The sequence below is a fragment of the Homo sapiens genome, chromosome X (assembly GCF_000001405.40).
Source record: "Homo sapiens chromosome X, GRCh38.p14 Primary Assembly".
NCBI lineage: Eukaryota > Metazoa > Chordata > Mammalia > Primates > Hominidae > Homo > Homo sapiens.
Window position 1 is genome coordinate 57,311,135 of NC_000023.11, and position 25,857 is coordinate 57,336,991.

A 25,857-nucleotide genomic window follows, 5' to 3' on the forward strand; every position below is an offset into this window, starting at 1 on the left:
TGAAAATCCCAAATATTTGGAAAGTAAACAACGTATTTTTAAATAACCCATAAGTCAAAGAAATAAATCACAAGGAAATGTTTGAACTGAAAGAAAAAATATAATAATATAACAAAACTTATGGGATGTAGCTAAATTAGTACTTAGAGGGAAATGTATGGCTTTCAGTGAATATACATGAAAAGAAAGATTTAAAATCAGTAACTGAAGCCTGGCCTTAAATGGCTCCTGCGAAAGGGGTCAGTGAGGGAACTGAGGCCTCACCTTCACCAGGAATCTTTGGGATCCTAGCTATAGGGGAACCCTTGTCGCCCGTGGGTGTATGAGCTGGCAGGAAGATCTGATGGAGAGCAGGCAGAGATGGGCCTTCAGAGGGCTTGGAGCCTGGAAGCTTTTGGTGCTCTGGGCAGCTCCAGCTGAGAGTAGCCATAGGCACCAATCCCCAAGTCTTCCCATTCCTCCGAGGAGGTGCAGGCCGGGATGACCTCTGACCCAGGAGAGAGCAGAGCCAGCTTCTTCATGGGACTGAGGTGCATCTGCTCTGCAAGCTTTCCTGCCTTTCAGCTACTCCCAGCATCCATGCCTAGCTACTCTGCAGGAGCAGGTGCACATAACAGCCCCTGCAGCCCAACCTCAGTGTATTGATGCACGTGAGTACTTTCCTAGCTAGCCTGGAGCATATTGGATCCCCTAGCACAGGCAGAACTGAGTCCCAGCTAAGAGACAGTCAGGTGCACCCAGGGCTACAGCGTGCTACTTGAGAGTAAGGAGCAGAGATCTGTGGACAGTAATGAAGCTGGGGAGGAGCTCCCAACCCCAGAACACTGAGAAGGGAGAGATGCATGGGTTTCTGGGCAAGGTGAGATGGGGCATGCCTCCCTCCACAGGGTGGGTCCATAGAGTGTGGCATATCTCTGCTGCAGCCCCTGCCCAAGAGGGCTGGTGGTACAGAATAGCTAATAAAAGAAATGCCAGCACAGCACCATTGATCACAGGGGGCTCTCCCAAATCCCAGGAGCAGATCTGGTGAGGGAGGTGCTGTCTCTTTCTGCTCTCCCAACTCAAGAGCATGCCTGCATACTAAGGGAAATACAGAAGAGCTGCACAGCTTGGTATTAAACTAGCTACCGGCCATTACTCTTATGCTTCATCTACTGGATTGCAGCCCAAACTACAACATCAATCAATCATCCGGCTAATATGTGCACCTGTGAAACCAAGTGCAAGAATTCAAACACACATAAAGATCCTATAGAGGCCAGGCACAGTGGCTTATGCCTGTAATCCCAGCACTTTGGGAGGCCGAGGCAGGTGGATCACCTGAAGTCAGGAGTTTGAGACCAGCCTGGCCAACATGATGAAACCACATCTCTACTAAAAATACAAGAAAAAAAAATTAGCTGGGCATGGTGGCGGGCATCTGTAGTCCCAGCTACTTGGGAGGCTGAGGTAGGAGAATCGCTTGAACCTAGGAGGTGGAAGTTGCAGTAATCCGTGCCATTGCACTCCAGCCTGGGCAACAAGCACAAAACTCCATCAAAAAAAAAAAAATCCTATACAGAACACTAGCCTTCTGAAAGGATCCACAAATATAGCCAACTAACTATACTGAACTTACACCACAGTTACAGAAATACCAATCCTCAAATATTAGAATAAATCAGTGCAAGAACTCTGGAAATCCAAAAAGTAGAGTATCTTTATTGACCTCAAAACAAGTCCAATAGCTCCCCAGAAATGGTTTTTGACCAGTCTGAAATGACTGAGATGACACAGTCTTCAGAATCTGGGTGTCAATGAAACTTACTGAGATTCAGGAGAAAGTTGAAATCCAATCCAAGGAATGCAAAGCATCCAGTAAAATGATCCAAGAGATGGGAGAAAAAATGGGCATTTTAGGAAACAACAAAACAGAGCTTCTAGAAATTAAAGACTCACTATGAGAATTTCATAATACAATTAGAAGTATTAACAGCAGAGTAGACCAAGCTGAGGAAAGAATCCAATCCCAGAGCTTGAATACCGTTTTTTTCAAATCACCTTAGTCAGACAAAAATAAAGAAAAAAGAAATTAGAAAATGAATGAAACCTCCAAGAAATGTGGAATGATATAAGAAAACCAAACCTATGACTCATCAGGATTCTCAAGAGAGAAGGAGAGAGAATAATCAACTTGGAAAATATATTTGAGGTGAAGAGGTTGACACCAGTCTCGGTGAAGAGGTTGACATGCAAATCAAAGTGGTACAGATAATGGTGGCCACATACTATATAAGATGACCATCCCCAAGGAACATAGTAATCAGATTCACCAAGGTCAATACAAAAATAAATAAATAAATAAATAAATACATCTTAAAGGCAGCTAGAGAGAAGGGTTAAGTCACATACAGAGAGTACTCCATCAGGCAAGCAGTAGATCTCTCAGCAGAAACCTTAACAATGAGAAGATATTGGGGGTCTACTTTCAGCATCCCTAAAGACAAGAAATTCCAACCAAGAATTTCATTTCCTCGCAAATAAGCTTCATAAATGAAGGAGAAATAAAATTCTTCTCAGACAAGAAAATTCTGAGAGAATATTTTTCAACTAGACCAACCTTACATGAGGCCCTTAAGGAAGTGCTAAACATGAGTTCAAAAGAATGACACCGGCTGTCACAGAGACACTCAAGCTGATAGCTTGCATGCACTATAAAACAACTATGCAGTCAAGTCTATATAACAAACAGCTAATAGCATGACTTGAATAAAATCACACATATTTGAATGTAAATGAACTAAATGTCCCAATTAAAATACAGGGTGTCAGGCTGGATGAAAAAACAAGACCCAACCATCTGTTTTCTCTAAGAGGCCCATCTCACATGTAATGACACCCACATGCTCAAAGTGAAAGGATGTAGGAAGATCTATCATGCAAACAGGAAACAAAAAAGAGCAGGAGTTGCTATTCTTTTTATCAGATAAAACAGATCTTAAACCAACAACAATCAGGAAATACAAAGAAGGGCATTATATAATGATAAATGTTTTAATTCAATGAGAAGACTGAACCATCTTAAATATGTATGCACCCAACATTGGAGCACTCAGATTCACAGAAAAAATCTTCATGACCTGAGAAAAATCTTAGACAGCCACACAATAATAGTAGGAGATTTCAAAACCCCACTGACAGTGTTAGACAGATCATCGAGGCAGAAAACTAACAAAAGAAACTCAGGGCTTCACCTCAACACTTGAGCAATTGCGCTTAATAGACATCTACAAAATACTCCACCCAAAAACCATGGAATATACATTCAACTCATCTGTACATGGAGCATACTCTACACGGTCAGTCATACTTCAAGTCTCAATAAATTAAAATATTGAATCTTACCATGCACACTCTTGGACCAGAGTGAAATAAAAATAGAAATCAATATCAATATCTCCCAAAACTACACAAATACATGGAAACTAAACAACTTTCTCATGAAAAACTCCTAGATGGACATTGAAATTAAGGCATAAATCAAAAAAAGTGATTAATAACTCTTAGGTGAACATCAAAATTAAGGCAGAAATACAAAAAAACAAAAAAAATCTCTAAAATTAATGAAAATAGTGACACATCTTACCAAAGTCATTAAGGCGCCACTCAAGCATTGTTACCAGGAAAGTTTATAGAACTAAATCCTTCTTCAAGAAGTTGGAAAGATCTCAAATTAACAATATAACATAACGCCAATGTGAACTACGATAATAAGAAAAAATCAATTCCAAAGCCAGCAGAAGAAAAGAAATAACTAAAATTAGAGAACTTAGTAAAATATAGATGCAAAAATCTATACAAAAGATCAATGAAATTAAGAGTTTGTTTTTCAAAAATAAGTTAGACTGCTACCTAGATTAAAAAAGAAAGAGAAGATTCAAGTAAGTACAATCAGAAATGACAAACATAACATTACAACTTATTTCATGGAAATACGAAAGATTGTCACAATCAATTCAATGCACACAAATTAAAAAATATATAGAAAATGTAAATATTCCTGGAAACACACCTTCTTCCAAGATTGAATCAGGAAGAGAGTGAAACCTTGAACAGCCCAATATTGAGCTGTGAGATGGAATCGGTAATAAGAAACCTACCAATCAAAAAGTGTCCTGGACTAGATGGATTCACAGCCAAATTCTACCAGACATACAAAAAAGAGATGCTACCAATACTACTGAAACTATTCTAAAAAATGGAGGAGGAGGGACTCCTCTCTAACTCATTCTATATAAAGCTATCATCACCCTAATACAAAAATCTGGCAGAGACACAACAGAAAACAAAAACTTCAGACCAATATCCCTGATTAACATAAACTCAAAAATCCTCAATAAAATTCTAGCAAACCAAATCCAGCAACACAACAAAAAGTTAACTCATTATGATCAAGTAGGGATTATTCCTGGGATGCAAGATTGGATCAACATATGCAAATCATTTAATGTGATTCACCACGTAAATGATTAAAAGTAAAAACCATGTGATCATCTCAATAGATGCAGAAAAATAACTTTTGATATAATTCAACACCCCTTCTTTATACTAACTCCCAACAGACTAGGCATCGAAGGAACATACCTCAAAATAATAAGAGTCATCTATACCAAACACACAGGCAATGTCACACTAAATGGGCAAAAGCTGGAAGCATTCTTCCTGAGATCTGAAACAAGGAAAGAGTGCCCACTCTCACTACTCCTATTTGACATAGTACTGGAAATCCTAGCCAGAGCAGTCAGGCAAGAGAAAGAAAAGGCATCCAAATAGGAAAAGAAGTCAAACTGTCTCTCTGTTGATGATATGATCTTATGCTTAGAAAATCCTAAAGACTCCATCAAAATCCTACTAAAACTGATAAACAATTTTAGCAAGGTTTCAGAATACAAAATCAATGTAGTAAATCGGTAGTATAATGATGTCCTGGTTGAGATTCACACAATCCCATTTACAATAGTCAGAAATAAAATGGAATACCTAGGAATAGAGCTAAACAAGGAGGTGAAAGATCTCTACGAGAACTGCAGAACACTGCCGAAAGAAACCAGAAATGGTATAAATAAATGTAAAAACATTTCATGTTCTTGGATTGGAAAAATCAGTATTGATGAAATCGCCATACATCCAAAAACAGTTTACAGATTTAACGCTATTCCTACCAAACTACCAAAGACATTTTTCAAAGAATTGGAAAAAACCTATTTTAAAATTCATATGGAATCTAAAAAGAGCCTGAATAGCCAAAGCAATCCTAAGCAAATAGAAGCAGAGATATCACACTACCCCACTTAAAACTATATTATAAAGCTACAGTCACCAAAACAGCATGGTGCTGGTACATAAACAGACACATAGACCAATGGAACAGAACAGAAAACTCAGAAATAAAGTCACACACATACAACCATCTGATCTTTGTCAAGGCCAACAAAAATAAGCAATGGGGGAAGGACTCCCTATTCAATACATGGTGCTGGGATAACTCACTAGCCATGTACAGAAGACTGAATCTACACTCTTATCTTTCACCATAGGCAAAAACTAACTCAAAATAGATAAATATTTAAATGTAAGACGTCAAACTCTAAAAAAGTTGAGATGAAAACCTAAGAAATACCCTTCTCTATATTGACCCTGTCTCCCCCCACCGCCTCCAAAAAAACATGGTCAACTCCCTAAAGCTATTGCAACTAAATGAAAAATTTACAAGTGGGACTTAATTAAACTAAAGACCTTCTGCACAGCAAAATAAACCATCAACAGAATAAACAGGCAACCTACAGATTGGGAGGAAATATTCATAAACTATGCATGCAATAAAGGTCTAATATCCAGAATCTATAAGGAACTTAAGCAAATCAACAACTAATAAACAAATAACCCATTAAAAAGTGAGCAAGAGACATGATCAGACATCACTCAAAAGAAGACAGACAAGTGGCCAACAAATATTTGAAAAATGCTCTCAGGATCAAGTTCACAAATAACAATATTAGCCTTAAATGTAAACGGGCTAAGTGCCCCAATTAAAAGACACAGACTGGCAAATTAAATAAAGAGCCAAGACCCATTAGTCTGCTGTATTCAGGAGATCCATTGCACATGCAAAGACACACATAGGCTCAAAATAAAAGGATGGAGGAATATTTATCAAGCAAATGTAAAGCGAAAAAGAGCAGGAGTTGCAATCCTAGTCTCTAATAAAACAGACTTTAAGCCAACAAAGATGAAAAAAGACAAAGAAGGGCATTACATAATCATAAAGGGACTTTGTACCAAGAAGAGTTAACTATCCTAAATATATATGTACCCAGTACGGGAGCACCCAGATTCATAAAGCAAGTTTTTAGAGACAAACAAAGAGACTTAGAGTCCTACACCATAATAGTGGGAGACTTTAACACCCCACTGTCACTATTAGACAGATCAACAAGACAGAAAATTAACAAGAATATTTAGGACTTGAACTCAGCTCTGGACCAAGTAGACCTAATAGACATCTACAGAACTCTCCACCCCAAATCAACAGAATACACATTCTTCTCAGCATCACATTGCACTTATTCTAAAATTGACCAAATATTTGGAAGTAAAACACTCCTTAGCAAATGCAAAATAATGGAAAATATAACCAACAGTCTCTCAGACCACAGTGCAATCAAATTACAACTAAGGATTAAGAAACTCACTCAAAACGGCACAACTACATGGAAACTGAACAATCTGCTCCTGAATGACTACTGGGTAAAGAAATTAAGGCAGAAATAAACATGTTATTTGAAACCAGTGAGAAAAAAGACACAATGTACTGGGATCTCTGAGACACAGCTAAAGCAGTGTTTAGAGGGAAATTTATAGCACTAAATGCCCAAAGGAGAAAGTAGGAAAGATCTAAAATTGACACCCTAACATCACAATTAAAAGAACTAGAGAAGCAAGAGCAAACAAATTCAAAAGCTAGCAGAAGACATGAAATAACTAAGATCAGAGCAGAACTAAAGGAGATAGAGACACACAACAAACCCTTCAAAAAAAATAAATGAATCCAGGAGCTGGTTTTTTGAAAAGATTAACAAATAGATATACTGCTAGCCAGACTAATAAAGAAGAAAAGAGAGAAGAATCAAATAGACACAATAAAAAATGGTAAAGGGGATATCACTACTGATCCCACAGAAATACAAACTACCATCAGAGAATACTTATAAACACCTTTACGCAAATAAACTAGAAAGTGTAGAAAAAATGGAAAAATTCCTGGACAGATAAATCCTCCCAAGTCTAAAGCAAACCAGGAAGAAGTCAAGTACCTGAATAGGCCAAGAATAAGTTCTGAAATTGAGGCAGTAATTAATAGCCTACCAATAAAAAAATCCCAGAACTAGATGGATTCACAGCCAAATTCTACCAGAGGTACAAAGAGGAGCTGGTAACATTTCTTCTGAAACTATTCCAAACAATAGAAAAAGAGTAACTCCTCCCTAATCCATTTTATGGGGCCAGCATCGTCCTGATAACAAACCCTGGCAGAGACACAACAAAAAAAGAAAATTTCAAGCCAATATCCTTGATGAACATCTATGCAAAAATCCTCAATAAATACTGGCAAACTGAATCCAGCAGTACATCAGAAAGTTCATCTACCACTATCAAGTCAGCTTCATCCTTGGGATACAAGGCTGATTCATCATATGCAAATCAATAAACATAATCCATCACTTAAACAGAACCAATGACAAAAACCACATGATTATCTCAATAGATGCAGAAAAGGCCCTCCATAAAATTCAACACCCTTTCATGCTAAAAACTCTCAATAAAGTAGGTATTAATGGAACATATCTCAAAATAATAAGAGCTATTTATGACAAACCCACAGCCAATATCATACTAAATGGGCAAAAACTGGAAGCATTCCCTTTGAAAACTGGCACAAGACAAGGATGCCCTCTCTCACCACTCCTATTCAACATAGTATTGGAAGTTCTGGCCAGGGCAATCAGGCAAGAGAAAGAAATAAAGCATATTCAAATAGGAAGAGAGGAAGTCAAGTTGTCTCTTTTTGTAGATGACATGATTGTATGCTTAGAAAACCCCATCGTCTCAGCCCAAAATCTCCTTAAGCTGATAAGCAACTTCAGCAAAGTCTCAGGATACAAAATCAATGTGCAAAAATCACAAGCATTCCTGTACACCAATAGTAGACAAAAAGAGAGCCAAATCATGAGTGAACTCCCATTCACAATTGCTACAAAGAGAATAAAATACATAGGAATACAACTTACAAGGGATGTGAAGGACCTCTTCAAGGAGAACTACAAACCACTGCTCAAGGAAGTAAGAGAGGACACAAACAAATGGAAAAACATTTCATGCTCATGGGTAGAAAGAATCAATATTGTGAAAATGGCCATACTGCCCAAGTAATTTATAGATTCAATGCTATCCCCATTGAACTGCAATTGACTTTTTTCACAGAATTGGGAAAAACTACTTTAAATTTCATATGGAACCAAAAAAGAGCTCCGATAGCCAAGACAATCTTAAGCTAAATGACCAAAGCTGGAGGCATCATGTTACCTTACTGCAAAGTATACTACAAGGCTACAGTAAACAAAACAGCATAGTAGTGGAACCAAAACAGAGATATAGACCAATGGAACAGAACAGAGGCCTCAGAAATAATGCCACACATCTGCAGCAATCTGATCTTTGACAAACCTGGCAAAAACAAGCAATGGGGAAAGGATTCCCTATTTAATGGTGCTGGGAGAAATGACTAGCCATATGCAGAAAACTGAAACTGGACCTCTTTCTTACACCTTATACAAAAATTAACTCAAGATGGATTAAAGACTTAAACTTAAGACTTAAAACCATAAAAACCCTAGAAGGAAACCTAGGCAATACCATTCAGGACATAGGCATGGGTAAATAATTCATGACTAAAACATCAAAGAAAAAATGGCAACAAAAGCCAACATTGACAAATGGGATCTAATTAAACTAAAGAGCTTCTGAACAGCAAAAGAAACTATCATCATAGTGAACAGGCAACCTATAGAATGGGAGAACATTTTTGTGATCTATCCATCTGACAAAGGGTAATATCCAGAATCTACAAGAAACTTAAACAAATTTACAAGAAAAAGACAAACATCCCCATCAAAAAGTGGGTGAAGGATATGAATAGACACTTCTCAAAAGAAGACATTTATGTGGCCAACAAACATATGAAAAAAAGCTCATCATCCCTGGTCATTAGAGAAATGCAAATCAAAACCACAATGAGATACCATCACATGCTAGTTAGAATGGTGATCATTAAAAAGTCAGGAAGCAACAGATGCTGGAGAGGATGTGGAGAAATAAAAATGCTTTTACATTGTTGGTGGGAGTGTAAATTAGTTCAATCATTGTTGAAGACAATATGGTGATTCCTCAAGGATCTAGAACTAGAAATACCATTTGATCCATCAATCCCATTACTGGGTATACACCCAAAAGATTATATATCATTCTACTATAAAGCAACATGCACATGTATATTTATTTGTGGCACTGTTCATAAAAGCAAAGACTTGGAACCAACCCAAATGCCAATCAGTGATGGACTGGATAAAGGAAATGTGGCATATGTACACCATGCAATATTATACAGTTATAAAAAAAGATGAGTTGGCTGGGTGTGGTGGCTCACGCCTGTAATCCCACCACTTTGGGAGGCCAAGGCAGGTGGATCATGAGGTCGGCAGATCGAGACCATCCTGGCTAACATGGTAAAACCCCCGTCTCTACTAAAAAATACAAAAAATTAGCTGGGTGTGGTGGTGGGCGCCTGTAGTCCCAGCTACTCAGGAGGCTGAGGCAGGAGAATGGCGTGAATCTAGGAGGCGGAGTTTGCAGTGAGCCCAGATGGTGCCACTGCACTCCAGCCTGGGTGACAGAGCGAGACTCCATCTCAAAAAAAAAAAGAAAACCGGATGAATGCATGTCCTTTGCAGGGACATGGATGAAGCTGGAAACCATCGTTCTTAGCAAACTAACACAAATCGGAAAACACTGCATGTTCTCACTCAGGAGTGGGAGTTGAGTAATGAGAACACATGGACACAGGGAGGGGACCATCACACATTAGGGCACATTGGGGGTTCGGGATCTAGGGGAAGGATAGCATTAGGAGAAATACCTAAAGTAGATGACGTGTTGATGGGTGCAGCAAACCACTATTGCACATTTATACCTATGTAAAAACCTGCACGTTCTGCATATGTATCCCATAACTTATAGTATAATAATAATTATTATTATACTATTTAAAAAAATAGTTTTCCAATTGAAAACTATTTTTCAATTATTTTTTAATTAAAAAAATAGGTTTCCAATTGAAACCTCTGCTTTTTTCTGGTTTCCATTTGCTTGGTAGATTTTTCTCAATTTTTAAAATTTTGAGCCAATGGATGTCATTGCATGTAATATGGGTGTGTTGAAGACAACATAACAAGGAGTCTTGCTTCTTTATCTGGCTTGCCACTCTGTGCCTTTTAATTGGGGTATTTAGCCTGTTTACATTCAAGGTTAGTATTGATATGTATGGATTTGTTGCTGTCATCATGTTGTTACTTGGTTATTATGCAGATTTGTTTGTGTTTTTGCTTTTTAGGGTCACCAGTCTGTGTACTTGTGTGTTTCTGTAGTGGTTTGTAATTACCTATTATTTCCATATTTAGTGCTTCTTCCAGGAGCTCTTATAAGGCACATCTGGTGGCAACAAATTTGCTTAGCATTTGCTTACCTGAAAAGGATCTTATTTCTCTTTTGTTTATGAAACTTAGTTTGGCTGAACATGAAACTCCAGATTGCATTTTTTTTTTTTTTGAGACGGAGTCTCGCTCAGCTCACTGCAAGCTCTGCCTCCCGGGTTCACGCCGTTCTCCTGCCTCAGCCTCTTGAGTAGCTGAGACTACAGGCATCCGCCACCGCGCCTGGCTAATTTTTTGTATTTTTAGTAGAGACGGGGTTTCACCGTGGTCTCGATCTTCTGACCTCGTGATCCGCGCTCCTCGGCCTCCCAAAGTGCTGGGATTACAGGTGTGAGCCACCGCACCCGGCCTGCATTTTTTGTTTTTAAAGAATATTTGATGTAGGTCCCCGATCTCTTCTTCCATGTAGGATTTTTGCTGAGAGGTCTCTTGTTAGTTTGCTGGACTTCCTTTTATAAGTGACCTACCCTTTCTCTCTAGCCTTTAACTTTTTTTTCTTTCATTTCAACTGAAGAGAATTTGACTATTATGTGTTTTGGGGATGACCTTCTCATGAAGCATTTTGCGTGGGTTCTAAGCATTTTCTGAATTCGAATGTTGGCCTCTCTGTCTAGTTTGGAGAACTTTCTCATTGGTGATATCCTGAAATATATTTTCTAATTTGCCTTCTTTCTCTTTTTCTTTTCTGGAATGTCAATGAGTTCTAGATTCGGTCTCTTTATGTTATTCCATAATTCATGGAAGTTTTGTTCATTAAAAAATTCTTTTTTCTTTACTCTTGTTTCACTGTTTTATTTTAAAAAGTCAATCTTCAAGCTTCAATATTCTTTTCTCAGCTTGGGTATTCTGCTGCTAATGCTTGTGATTTCTTTTTTTTTTTGTTTTGTTTTGTTTTCCTTTTTTTTAATTATACTTTAAGTTTTAGGGTACAGGTGCACAACATGCAGGTTTGTTACCTGTGTATACAAGTGCCATGTTGGTGTGCTGCACCCATTAACTTGTCATTTAATATTAGGTATATCCCCTAATGCTATCCTTCCCCACTTTCCCCACCCCACAACAGGCCCCAGTGTGTGATGTTCCCCTTCCTGTGTCCATGTGTTCTCATTGTTCAATTCCCACCTATGAGTAAGAACATGCGGTGTTTGGTTTTTTGTCTTTGCAACAGTTTGCTGAGAATGATGGTTTCCAGCTTCATCCATGTCCCTACAAAGGACATGAACTCATCCTTTTTTATGGCCACATACTATTCCATGGTGTATATGTGTCACATTTTCTTAATCCAGTCTATCATTGTTGGACATTTGGGTTGGTTCCAAGTCTTTGCTATTGTGAATAGTGTCACAATAAACATACGTGTGCATGTGTCTTTATAGCAGCATGATTTACAATCTTTTGGGTATATATCCAGTAATGGGATGGCTGGGTCAAATGGTATTTCTAGTTCTAGATCCCTGAGGAATCACCACACGGACTTCCACAAAGGTTGAACTAGTTTACAGTCCCACCAACATTGTAAAAGTGTTCCTATTACTCCACATCCTCTCCAGCACCTGTTGTTCCTGACTTTTTAATGATTGCCTTTCTAACTGGTGTGAGATGGTTATCTCATTGTGGTTTTGATTTGCATTTCTCTGATGGACAGTGATGATAAGCATTTTTTTCATGTGTCTTTTGGCTGCATAAATGTCTTCTTTTGAGAAGTGTCTGTTCATATCCTTCACCCACTTGTTGATGGGGTTGTTTTTTTTTTTTTTTTTTTGTAAACTTGTTTGAGTTCTTTGTAGATTCTGGATATTAGCCCTTTGTCAGATGTGCAGATTGCAAAAATTTTCTCCCATTTTGTAGGTTGCCTGTTCACTCTGATGGTAGTTTCTTTTGCTGTGCAGAAGCTCTTTAGTTTGATTAGATCCCATTTGTCAATTTTGGCTTTTGCTGCCATTGCTTTTCATGTTTTAGACATGAAGTCCTTGCCCATGCCTATGTCCTGAATGGTATTGCCTAGGTTTTCTTCTAGGGTTTTTATGGTTTTAGGTCTAACATTTAAGTCTTTAATCCATCTTGAATTAATTTTTGTATAAGGTGTAAGGAAGGGATCCAGTTTCAGCTTTCTGCTTATGGCTAGCCAGTTTTCCCAGCACCATTTATTAAATAGGGAATCCTTTCCCCATTGCTTGTTTTTGTCAGGTTTGTCAAAGATCATATGTTTGTAGATATGTGGCATTATTTCTGAGGGCTCTGTTCTGTTCCATTGGTCTATATCTCTGTTTTGATACCAGTACCATGCTGTTTTGGTTACTGTAGCCTTTAGTATAGTTTGAAGTCAGGTAGCATGATGCCTCCAGCTTTGTTCTTTTGACTTAGGATTGATTTGGCAATGCGGGCTCTTTTTTGGTTCCACATGAACTTTAAAGTAGTTTTTTCCAATTCTGTGAAGAAAGTCTTTGGTAGCTTGATGCGGATGGCATTGAATCTATAAATTACCTTGGGCAGTATGGCCATTTTCATGATATTGATTCTTCCTACCCATGAGCATGGAATTTTCTTCCATTTGTTTGTATCCACTTTTATTTCATTGAGCAGTGGTTTGTAGTTCTCCTTGAAGAGGTCCTTCACATTCCTTGTAAGTTGGATTCCTAGGTATTTTATTCTCTTTGAAGCAATTGTGAATGGGAGTTCACTCATGATTTGGCTCTCTGTTTTTCTGTTATTGGTGTATAAGAATGCTTGTGATTTTTGCACATTGATTTTATATCCTGAGACTTTGCTGAAGTTGCTTATCAGCTTAAGGAGATTTTGGGCAGAGATGATGGGGTTTTCTAAATATACAATCATGTGATCTGCAAACAGGGACAATTTGACTTCCTCTTTTCCTAATGAATACCCTTTATTTCCTTCTCCTGCCTAATTGCCCTGGCCATAACTTCCAACACTATGTTGAATAGGAGTGGTGAGAGAGGACATCCCTGTCTTGTGCCAGTTTCCAAAGGGAATACTTCCAGTTTTTGCCCATTCAGTATGATATTGGCTGTGGGTTTGTCATAGATAGCTCTTAATATTTTGAGATACGTCCCATCAATACCTAATTTATTGAGAGTTTTTAGCATGAAGGTTGTTGAATTTTGTCAAAGGCCTTTTCTGCATCTATTGAGATAATCAAATGGTTTTTGTTGTTGGTTCTGTTTATATGCTGGATTGCATTTATTGATTTGTGTATGTTGAAGCAGCCTTGCATCCCAGGGATGAAGCCCACTTGATCATGGTGGATAAGCTTTTAGATGTGCTGCTGGATTCAGTTTGCCAGTATTTTATTGAGGATTTTTGCATTGATGTTCATCAGGGATATTGGTCTAAAATTGTCTTTTTTGGTTGTGTCTCTGCCAGGCTTTGGTATCAGGATGATGCTGGCCTCATAAAATGAGTTAGGGAGGATTCCCTATTTTTCTATTGATTGGAATAGTTTCAGAAGGAGTGGTACCAGCTCCTTCTTGTACCTCTGGTAGAATTCTGCTGTGAATCCATCTGGTCCTGAACTTTTTTTGGTTGGTAGGCTATTTATTATTGCCTCAATTTCAGAGGCTGTTATTAGTCTATTCAGAGATTGAACTTCTTCCTGGTTTAGTCTTGGGACAGTGTAGGTGTCGAGGAATTTATCCGTTTCTTCTAGATTTTCTAGTTTATTTGCATACAGGTGTTTATAGTAGTCTGATGGTAGTTTGTATTTCTGTGGGATCAGTGGTGACATGCCCTTTGTCATTTTTTATTGCGTCTAATTGATTATTCTCTTTTTTCTTCTTTATTAGTCTGGCTAGTGGTCTATCAATTTTGTTGATCTTTTCAAAAAACCAGCTCCTGGATTCATTGATTTTTTTGAAGGGTTTTTTGTGTCTCTATTTCCTTCAGTTCTGTTCTGATCTTAGTTATTTCTTGCCTTCTGCTAGCTTTTAAATGTGTTTGCTCTTGCTTCTGTAGTTCTTTTAATTGTGATGTTAGGGTGTCAATTTTAGATCTTTCCTGCTTTCTCTTGTGGGCATTTAGTGCTATAAATTTCCCTCTACACACTGCTTTGAATGTGTCCCAGAGATCCTGGTATGTTGTGTCTTTGTTCTCATTGGTTTCAAAGAACATCTTTATTTCTGCCTTCATTTCGTTATGTACCCAGTAGTCATTCAGGAGCGGGTTGTTCAGTTTCCATGTAGTTGAGGGGTTTTGAGTGAGTTTCTTAATCCTGAGTTCTAGTTTGATTGCACTGTGGTCTGAGAGACAGTTTATTATAATTTCTGTTCTTTTCCATTTGCTGAGGAGTGCTTTGCTTCCAACTATGTGGTGAATTTTGGAATAAGTGCAATGTGGTGCTGAGAAGAATGTATATTCTGTTGATTTGGGGTGGAGAGTTCTGTAGGTGTCTATTAGGTCCGCTTGGTGCAGAGCTGAGTTCAATTCCTGGATATCCTTGTTAACTTTCTGTCTCGTTGATCTGTCTAATGTTGACAGTGGGGTGTTAAAGTCTCCCATTATTATTGTGTGGGAGTCTAAGTCTCTTTGTAGGTCACTAAGGACTTGCTTTATGAATCTGGGTGCTCCTGTATTGGGTGCATATATATTTAGGATAGTTAGCTCTTCTTGTTGAATTGATCCCTTTACTATTATGTAACGGCCTTCTTTGTCTCTTTTGATCTTTGTTGGTTTAAAGTCTGTTGTATCGGAGACTAGGATTGCAACCCCTGCCTTTTTTTGTTTTCCATTTGCTTGGTAGATCTTCCTCCATCCCTTTATTTTGAGCCTATGTGTGTCTCTGCATGTGAGATGGGTTTGCTGAATACAGCACACTGATGGGTCTTGTCTCCTTTTCCAATTTGCCAATCTGTGTCTTTTAATTGGAGCATTTAGTCCATTTACATTTAAGGTTAATATTTTTATGTGTGAATTTGATTCTGTCATTATGATCTTAGCTGGTTATTTTGCTCATTAGTTGATGCAGTTTCTCCCTAGCCTTGATGGTCTTTACAATTTGGCAGGTTTTTGCAGTGGCTGGTATCGGTTGTTCCTTTCCATGTTTAGTGCTTCCTTCAGGAGCTCTTTCAGGGCATGCCTGGTGGTAACAAAATCTCTCAGCATTTGCTTGTCTGTAAAGGATTTTATTTCTCCTGCACTTATGAAGCTTAGTTTGGCTGTATATGAAATGCTGGGTTGAAAGTTATTTTCTTTAAGAATGTTGAATATTGGCCCCCACTCTCTTCTGGCTTGTAGAGTTTCTGCCGAGAGATCAGCTGTTAGTCTGATGGGCTTCCCTTTTTGGGTAACTCAACCTTTCTCTCTGGCTGCCCTTAACATTTTTTCCTTCATTTCAACTTTGGTGAATCTGACAATTATTTGTCTTGGAGTTGCTCTTCTTGAGGGTTATTTTTGTTCTGTTCTCTGTATTTCCTGGATCTGAATGATGGCCTGCCTTGCTAGATTGGGGAATTTCTCCTAAATAATATCCTGCAGAGTGTTTTCCAACTTGGTTCCATTCTCCCCGTGACTTTCAGGTACACCAATCAGACATAGATTTGGTGTTTTCACATAGTCCCATATTTCTTGGATGCTGGTTCATTTCTTTTTATTCCTTTTTCTCTAAACTTCTCTTCTCACTTCATTTCATTCATTTGATCTTCCATCACTGGTACCCTTTCTTCCACTTGATCAAATCAGCTATTGAGGCTTGTGCATTCATCATGTAGTTCTGGTGCTGTGGTTTTTGGCTCCATCAGGTCCTTTAAGGACTTCTCTGCCTTGATTATTGTAGTTAGCCATTCATCTAATCCTTTTTCAAGTTTTTTTAACTTCTTTGCCATGGGTTCAAACTTCCTCCTTTAGCTTGCCGTAGTTTGATAATCTGAAGCCTTCTTCTCTGAACTCGTGAAAGTCATTCTCCATCCAGCTTTGTTGCATTGCTGATTAGTAGCTGCATTCCTTTGGAAGAGGAGTGGTGCTCTGATTTTTAGAGTTTCTGGTTTTTTTGCTCTGTTTTTTCCCCATCTTTGTGGTTTTATCTACCTTTGGTCTTTGATGATGTGATGTACAGATGGGTTTTTGGTGTGGATGTCCTTTTTATTTGTTAGTTTTCCTTCTAACGGTCAGGACCTTCAGCTGCAGGTCTGTTGGAGTTTGCTGGAGGTCCCCTGCAGACCCTGTTTGCCTGGGTATCAGCAGCAGAGGCTGCAAAACAGCGAATATTGGTGAACAGCAAATGTTGCTGCCTGATCGTTCCTCCGGAAGTTTTGTCTCAGAGGAGTACCTGGCCGTGTGAGGTGTCAGTCTGCCCCTACTTGGGGGTGCCTCCCAGTTAGGGTACTCGGGGGTCAGGACCCACTTGAGGAGGCAGTCTGTCCATTCTCAGATCTCAAGCTGCGTGCTGGGAGAACCACTATGCCACTTGTTATTTTTTCATGAAATTTTTATAGTATGTTTTTCTGCTCTATCAGGTTGATTGTGTTTTTTTTCTATACTGACTATTTTGTCTTTCAGCTCCTGTATGTTTTTATTGTGAATTCTAGCTTCCTTAGATTGGGTTTTAATATTTTCCAGGATCTCAATGATCTTTCTTTCTATCTATATTCTGAATTCTATTTATCTCATTTCAGCCATCTCAGCCTGCTTAAGAATGCTTGCTTGAGAACTAGTGTGTTTGTGTGGAGGAAGGAAAACACTCTGATTTTTTGAATTGTCAGAGTTCTTGTGCTGGTTCTTTCTTATTTTTGTGGGTCTGTTGTTTCTTCAACATTTAAAGTTGTTTTTTGGGTGAGAGTTTTTCTTTTATTCTAGTTGATAACCTTGGGCGATTTGATTATGGTATAAGGTAGGTTCATTTGACTGGCTTCATTTCTGGAACATTTAAAGTGGCCAAGACTCAGCTCAGTACTCCTGGATTGCATGCTCTAACTCTGGGGGACTGGTATGAGGTCCCCACTTTCTTCTCTGACTTTTGAAGGTTAGGAACCTTCTGGGAGGGCTGAGGTCCTCCTGGACCACTAGAAGGGACAAGGTGCTGCCAGATCACTGGTCATAATACTTCAATGGGTAAGTGCCAGCCAAAGAACTTCATAGGGCTCTGGCAGCAGTATCTGCCCTTATTTTTATGTGCCAGTTGCAACTCCCACTGCAGTATGTATGGGTTTATGCTCCTCAGCTGCAGCACAGTGCTAGCAGGTACCAGGGTGCTGACCTTTGTGAGATCATTCACAGCAATTGGCAATATTGACTGCATTGCCTTTTGTGGGCCAGTAGGTGGCCATCATGCAGGTGTTTGCAGTTGTTGGTTGCATTGACAGTATGACTGGGGGCATAGGGCTTTCTAGCAGCAACTGTGCATACATTTACACTGGTGGCATTGTTATCATGGAGGTGGGGTGCTCTGGTTGGCACAAGTCTGTGTGGGCCCTCTATGCATGTTCCTGTAGGTGGCAGTGGCTACTCAGGGTGAGGGTGGGTCCACTTTTTGCATGCCTAGTTTCTGCCGGCAGCTGTTTCAGCACTGAAAGTAGGTACTGTTGGGGGCAGTGCTGATGTGCTTTCTGCTTGCCAATGATCTGACAACAATGGTGGTGCAGTGGGGGGAAGAGGTAGGGTGCACTCATGCCAGGAGTAGTGGCATGGCAGGGTGCACACAATTATGTGTGCTGGTAGAGAAGGGAAGACAAGGTCCACACACACACACACACACACACACAAGTACCAATAAAGCAATGTTGGAGGTCATCGTGGGCGAGTGCATGTAGGCAAAGTGGCACAAGGGAGGCTGCCGTAGTGGCAGGGTGTTGCAGGAAGTCAGGGACCCCAAACAGAGGGACCAGCTGAAGCCATGGCTGAAGAACTTGGATTGTGAAGATTTCGTGGACATTTATTAGTTCCCCAAATTAATACTTTTGTAATTTCTTATGTCTGTCTTTACTGCAATCTCTAAAGATAAATTGTGAAGATTTCATGGACACTTATCACTTCCCCAATCAATACCCTTATGATTTCCTATGCCTGTCTTTACTTTAATCTCTTAATCCTGTCATCTCACAAGCTGAGGAGGATGTATGTCACCTCAGGACCCTGTGATGATTGCGTTAACTGCACAGATTGTAGAGCATGTGTGTTTGAACAATATGAAATCTGGGCACCTTGAAAAAAGAACAAGATAACAGCAACTGTTCAGGGAAAAAGAGAGATAACCTTAAACTCTGACCACCGGTGAGCCGGGTGGAACAGAGTCATATTTCTCTTCTTTCAAAAGCAAATGGGAGAAATATCACTGAATTCTGTTTCTCAGCAAGGAACATCCCTGAGAAAGAGAATGCGCCCCAAGGGTGGGTCTCTAAAATGGCCCCGTTGGGTGTGGCCGTCTTCTGTGGTTGAAACTTTAGGGATGAAATAAATCCCAGTCTCCCATAGCGCTCCCAGGCTTATTAGGAAAAGGAAATTCCTGTCTAATAAATTTTGTTCAGACTGGTTGCTCTCAAACCCTGTCTCCTGATAAGATGTTATCAATGGCAATGGTGCCCGAAACTTCATTAGCAATTTTAATTTTGCCCCGGTCCTGAGGTCCTGTGATCTTGCCCTGCCTCCATTTGCCTTGTGATATTCTATTATGTTGTGAAGTAGGTGATCTTTGTGACCCACACCCTATTTGTATACTCCCTCCCCTTTTGAACGTCCCTAATAAAAACTTGCTGGTTTTGCGGCTTGTGGGGCATCACGGAACCTACCGACATGTGATGTCTCCCCCAGATGCCCAGCTTTAAAATTTCTTTCTTTTGTACTCTGTTCCTTTATTTCTCAAACTGGCTGATGCTTAGGGAAAATAGAAAAGAACCTATGTGACTATCGGGGCAGGTTCCCCAATAGGAGGGTATGGGCTAGCTGGGCTTGTCTTCTGTGGCAGGTCTGTTCCAGGACTTTGCAGGTCAGGTGCTATCCACCTGACAGGTCAGGAATTGTGATGCAGGGCCCCAGGACGTACTTAGGGGCTGCACTGCAAGCAGGCAGGATCAGACTTGGGCCCTGGGAGAAGCCAGCAGAATGAGGGGTGCTCAGATTGGACTGGACCTGAATCATGGGCAAAACCACCCTGCAGATTTCAGGTCTGACAGTTCCCCTAGGGCTTAAGTCTCCTGTGGGAGCCAGTCTAGCCTAGGGGCATGGGCAACCCTTGTTGTGCTCCTCCAGATGTTCTGGCATCAAGTCTTCCAGGCTCTGCTCCAGCTTGAGTTCTGCCCCTACCACTTCTCTGAGCACCTCTCCCTGCTAATCCAAGTGTCCATGGTGGTCAAGGGTATTTTTCCTTCTATGATTCTAGAGGCCCATGTAGAAAGTGGGTTGCTCCTTGACTGTTCAACTCACCTTTTCCCCAGGTGTTGCTGGGAGCAAGGAGCAAGTCCCAGTGAACAGTAGCCCTGTGCAGGGTTCCCAGCTTCCTCCCCATTCAGCCCAGCATCTGTGTCTTCCCTCCATCCACCCTCAATGCCTTCTCTCTGAAGATCTGCTAGCAGTGTGCCAGTCTTTCCAATGCCCCAACCCTTTGTGGGAGATGTTCCTTCTGGCTACATCTAGTTGGCCATCTTGCCCCTCAGGAGAAAACAACTATTTTTATTTAATAATTTTTAAACATTCTTTTCTGTGACTCTTTTAGGAATGCCCAATTCTTCTGGACTCATGAACCGTCGTGATGCCATTGCCAAAACAGATGCCACTGTGGTGGCATTACTGAAGGGAGCTGGTGCCATTCCTCTTGGCATAACCAACTGTAGTGAGTTGTGTATGTGGTATGAATCCAGTAACAAGATCTATGGCCGATCAAACAACCCATATGATTTACAGCATATTGTAGGTGGAAGTTCTGGTGAGTTGGACATTTTAGTATGGCATGAATAGCTATGCTAACAATAATAATTATGAATTGTATTAATAAACATGATACAGTATAGCATCTATGACCTATAAGAATGGATGCAAAAACCCAGGATATTTGTGTGTTGATGGAGAAGAAATGGGAGTCATGTAACAGCCTTGGTCAACTCTGATATTTTGAAGATAGATAGAGGAGAAGTAGCCAGCAAAGGGAATTGAGAATGAACTACAAGTGATGTAGATAGGAAACATCGTAAAGTGTTTAGAGACTAGGAAAAAAAAGTGTATAGACACTAGAATTGACAAGGCTTTTATTAAGCCTGAATGGATGCATATGTGGGTTAGCAAAATATGATGTTTAAACTTGTGGGTGCTAAAGCTACATAGACATTTGAGACTTCTTTTAATATATGACCTTGGTCACATGAAGTAGGTGCTCATTAAGTCAGTTTTCTTTGCTTGTAAGATGGCCATATGAAAGAAATCAGACTTGTAAGGTTACTGTGATGATTAAAAATTTAAGTGTGACTTCAGGTTTCTGGTCTAGCATATATGGGGTTTAGAAGTTTTTACTCCAATTCACACAATAAGAACAAAAGCTGAACAAACTAAAAGTTAATGACAATTCTTAAATTTATCAATATGCTGAGGTAACGGGAAAACCACTCTTCCCAAAACTGAATGAAAAGACAGGCAGATACAAAGAAGTGAAACTTGCTAGAACAAAAGCCTAGGAGCAGAAAATTTCAGGGGAACCAGCACAGCTTTAGAGAAACCTAAGCTATAACTGATGACTTGCTGGAGGTTCATTGTGAAAAAGTTTGAGAATCAAAATGTATGTGGTGGTTGGGTGGGGGGATCTTAGGGGCCCCACACAATTTCAAAAGTTTTACCTTCAGGAGTCCTACTGTGTTCCTGAGTGAAGATTGGAGAGAAATCTTCTCTTGCTTCTTGCACAGGGAGGGAAAAAGTAGCCATTTTGAAATTCTGCTTCCAAAGCATACTGTTCTTCTAACAAGGAATGTCCTCAGAGAAACTATTTTTTCAGAACCTAACTTAGTAAGGTTTTACAAGAAACTAATGGACTTGACCTAGGGGAAATGAAATATCCAACTCCAGTCCTCTCTAGGTTTCCTGTCCTACTGAAGGGGTCAAAGCAGAATAAAATTGGGAAGCACATGTTAGGGTCACAGAGCAGGGGCACATGCTAACTAAATGACTGAGACCTAATCATATGACTATAAAATACTTCCTCTCCTTGTCTCCACACACCTTATCACTACACAAATAGGGATTTTCTATAATGGGAGTTCTATATAAACCAGAAGAACAGTACATCATAGGTGTTATTTAAGAAGTCTCTAGGGAAACTCAAAGACAACAGAGGAGGTGGAAACAATGGCACTAGTTGAAAATTTTACACCTGACACCTATGGCTACAGCAGACAGTAAACACAGACTAACCCCTAGCCAGGGAAACATAAAACCTCACATTAAAGGCCAAATACCCCCAGTTCTTTTATCTCAGTACATCATGTTTGGCTTTCAACAAAACAATTATAAGGCATACTAAAAGACAAAATCACAGTTTGAAAAGAGAAAGCAACCATCAAGATTTGACTCCAATATGGAAGAGATATTGAAATTATCAGACTGAGAATTGAAACCATTTGTGATTAATATAGTAAGGGCTATAATGGAAAAACTGGTCAACATGCAAGTACAGATCTGTAATGTAAGAAGACAGATGGGAACTTCAAGAATCAAAAGCAAATGCTAGAAATAAAAAAAAAATATAACAGAAATGAAGAACATCTTTGATGGGCTCATCAATATATTGTATACAAAACAGGAAACCTTCGGTGATGTGGAAGATCTGTCAAAAAGAACTTCCAAAACTGAAATGCAAAGAGGAAGAAAAAGATTGAAAAAGACAGAAGAGACTATCTAATAACTGTTGGATTACAAATGCATATAATACACATATGTAATTGGAACACTAGGAAGAGAAGAAAGATTTTAAGAAACAGCAATAAATGTTTGAAAAAAACTACACCTAGCATAATATTTCATCCTTAGAAGGTTAAGGAGAAAGAAGAAAATATTTAAAGAAGAAGGAGAAACATACCTTATCTGTAGAAGAGCAAAGACAGAATTATATTGGTATTTTCTTCAGAAGCCATGCAAACAATAAGAGATGGGAGTCCACTTTGGGAGGCCAAGGCAGTTGGGTCACTTGAAGTTAGGAGCTTGAGACCAGACTGGCCAACATGTTGAATCCCCATCTCTACTAAAAATACAAAAATTAGCCAGGCCTGGCAGCAGGTGCCTGTAATACCAGCTACTCAGGAGTCTGGGGCAAGAGAATTGCTTGAACTCGAGAGGTGGAGGTTGCAGTGAGCCGAGATCATGCCACTGCACTCCAGCCTAGGTGACAGAGGGAGATTCCGTCTCACACACACACACACACACACACACACACAAAGATGGGAGTCAAATATTTAAACCACTGAAAGAACCATCAACTTAAATCTCTGTCTAGCAGATCTATTCTTCAAAAGTGAAAAAGAAATAAAGATGCTCTGAGACAAAGACATATTGACAGAATTTGTTACCAGTAGAGCAACAGAGCAAGAAATGTTAAAAGATGTTCTTCATAGAGAAAAAAAGAATACAAACCAAAAACCTGAATTAATGTAAAAAAAAAAAGAAAATTATTAGAGAAAGATTGAACAAAGGTAAAATAATGTATTTTTAAATTATTGATTGCTGTAACATGTAATTGTTCAAAATAATAATGCCAACAATGTGTTGGGTGATTATAGCTTGTCTATGAGTGAAATGAATGACAACATTGTTATATGGGATGGGATAAAGGAATTGGGAATGTTCCTTTATAAGATAACTACACTACTTGGGAGGTGGCAGAGTATCATTTGAAGGAGACTTGAGTTAGTTCTAAATGTATATTGCAAACTCAAGGGCAAATATTAAAGTAACAAAAAAGTATGCATTAAGTGGCAAGAGAGGAGAATAAATGGAAACATTTAAAACCAGAGACTTAGCCTCCCACACAATTATAGTGGGAGAACTTAACACCCCACTGAAAATATCAGACAGATCATTGAGACAGAAAATTAACAAAGATATTCAGGACCTGAACTTAGCTCTGGATCAAGTGGACCTAATAGATATCTACAGAACTCTCCACCCCCAAACAATAGAAAACACATTCTTTTCATCATCACATAGCACTTACTCTAAAATTTATCACATAATTTGAAGTAAAACATTCCTCATTAAATGCAAAAGAACTTAAATCATAACAAACAGTCTCTCAGATTACAGTGAAGGGATGGGTTGCCCCTCCACACCTGTGGGCGTTTCTCGTTAGGTGGAATGAGAGACTTGGAAAAGAAAGAAAGAGACACAGAGACAAAGTATAGAGAAAGAAAAATAAGAAAAATGGGCCCAGGGGACCGGCGTTCAGCATAAGGAGGACCCGTATTATTATTGATCATTATCCAGCGTTTCCCGGAGAGGGGGATGTGGCAGGACAATAGGATAATAGTGGAGAGAAGGTCAACAGGTAAACACGTGAACAAATGTCTCTGCATCATAAACAAGGTAAAGAAAAAAGTGCTGTGCTTTTGATGTGCATATACATAAACATCTCAACGCCTTAAAGAGCAGTATTGCTGCCAGCATGTCCCACCTCCAGCCCTAAGGCAGTTTTCCCCTATCTCAGTAGATGGAATATACAACTGGGCTTTACACCAAGACATTCCATTGCCCAGGGATGAGCAGGAGACAGATGCCTTCCTCTTATCTCAACTGCAAAGAGGCGTTCCTTCCTCTTTTACTAGTCCTCCTCAGCACAGACCGTTTACGGGTGTTGGGCTGGGGGACAGTCAGGTCTTTCCCTTCCCACGAGGCCATATTTCAGACTATCACATGGGGAGAAACCTTGGACAATACCTGGCTTTCCTAGGCAGAGGTACCTGCGGCCTTCTGCAGTGTATTGTGTCTCTGGGTACTTGAGATTACAGAGTGGTGATGACTCATAGCAAACATGCTGCCTTCAAGCATTTGTTTAACAAAGCACATCCTGCACAGCCCTTAATCCATTTAACCCTGAGTTGACACAGCACATGTTTCAGGGAGCACAAGGTTGGGGGTAGGGTTACAGATCAACATCATCTCAAGGCAGAAGAATTTTTCTTAGTGTCAGGCCTCCGAGCCCAAGCTAAGCCATCATATCCCCTGTGACCTGCAGGTACACATCCAGATGGCTGGTTCCTACCTTAACTAATGACATTCCACCACAAAAGAAGGGAAAATAGCCTGTTCCTGCCTTAACTGATGACATTGTCTTGTGAAATTCCTTCTCCTGGCTCGTTCTGGCTCAAAAGCTCCCCCACTGAGTACCTTGAGACCCCCATTCTGCCCGCCAGAGAAGAACCCCTCTTTGACTGTAATTTTCCTTTACCTACTCAAATCCTATAAAATGGCCCCACCCCTATCTCCCTTCATTGACTCTCTTTTCAGACTCAGCCCACCTGCACCCAGGTGAAATAAACAGCTTTATTGCTCACAGAAAGCCTGTTTGGTGGTCTCTTCACACGGACGCGCATGAAACTTAGTACAGAACAAAATGGAGTCTCTTATGTCTACTTCTTTCTACGCAGACACAGTAACAATCTGATCTCTCTTTCTTTTCCCCACATTACAGCACAATCAAATTAGAACTCAAGATTAAGAAAGTCATCCCACACCAAACCACACAACTACGGGGAAATCAAACAACCTGCTCCGGAATGACTTTTGACTTTTGGGTAAATAATGAAATTAACAAAGAAATCAAGAAGTTCTTTGAAACTAATGAGAACAAAGACACAATATATCAGAATCTCTGGGCCACAGCTAAAGCACTGTTTAGAGGGAAATTTATAGCACTAAATCCCCACATCAAAAAGCTAGAAAGGTCTAAAACTGACAACCTAACATCACAACTAAAAGAAGTAGAGAAGCAAGAGCAAACAAATCCCAAAGCTAGGAGAAGACAAGAAATAACCAAGATTAGAGCAGAACTGAAGGAGATAGAGACACAAAAAATCCTTCAAAAATCAACGAATCCAGGAGCTATTCTTTTGAAAAAAAAAATAAATAAATAAAA

At 39.6% G+C, this 25,857-nt stretch overlaps 1 protein-coding gene across 18 annotated transcripts in view, besides 2 other annotated features; it reads left to right on the forward strand.

Moving 5' to 3' along the window:
- Positions 1-25,857, forward strand: part of FAAH2 (fatty acid amide hydrolase 2) — a 367,606-nt gene that overhangs the window by 189,544 nt on the left and 152,205 nt on the right. For 12 of the 18 annotated variants that reach the window (NR_148564.2, NR_148557.2, XM_011530767.4 and 9 more), the window contains one exon: positions 20,464-20,673. The exons of the other annotated variants lie outside the window; for them this stretch is intronic. Coding sequence is in view for 10 of the 12 variants with exons in the window: in XM_011530767.4 (XP_011529069.1) it covers positions 20,464-20,673 (210 nt within the window). In the remaining 2 variants the exon portion in view is untranslated. The remainder of the gene's footprint in view (positions 1-20,463; positions 20,674-25,857) is intronic. 18 annotated transcript variants of the gene reach the window in all.
- Positions 23,939-24,767: an enhancer, noted in NCBI's record as "OCT4-NANOG-H3K27ac hESC enhancer chrX:57361506-57362334 (GRCh37/hg19 assembly coordinates)". NCBI's record gives its function as "activates a minimal SCP1, AML or CMV promoter by ChIP-STARR-seq in primed H9 embryonic stem cells {active_cell/tissue: H9 hESC(primed)}" and the evidence as "EXISTENCE:reporter gene assay evidence [ECO:0000049][PMID:30033119]".
- Positions 24,768-25,595: an enhancer, noted in NCBI's record as "OCT4-NANOG-H3K27ac hESC enhancer chrX:57362335-57363162 (GRCh37/hg19 assembly coordinates)". NCBI's record gives its function as "activates a minimal SCP1, AML or CMV promoter by ChIP-STARR-seq in primed H9 embryonic stem cells {active_cell/tissue: H9 hESC(primed)}" and the evidence as "EXISTENCE:reporter gene assay evidence [ECO:0000049][PMID:30033119]".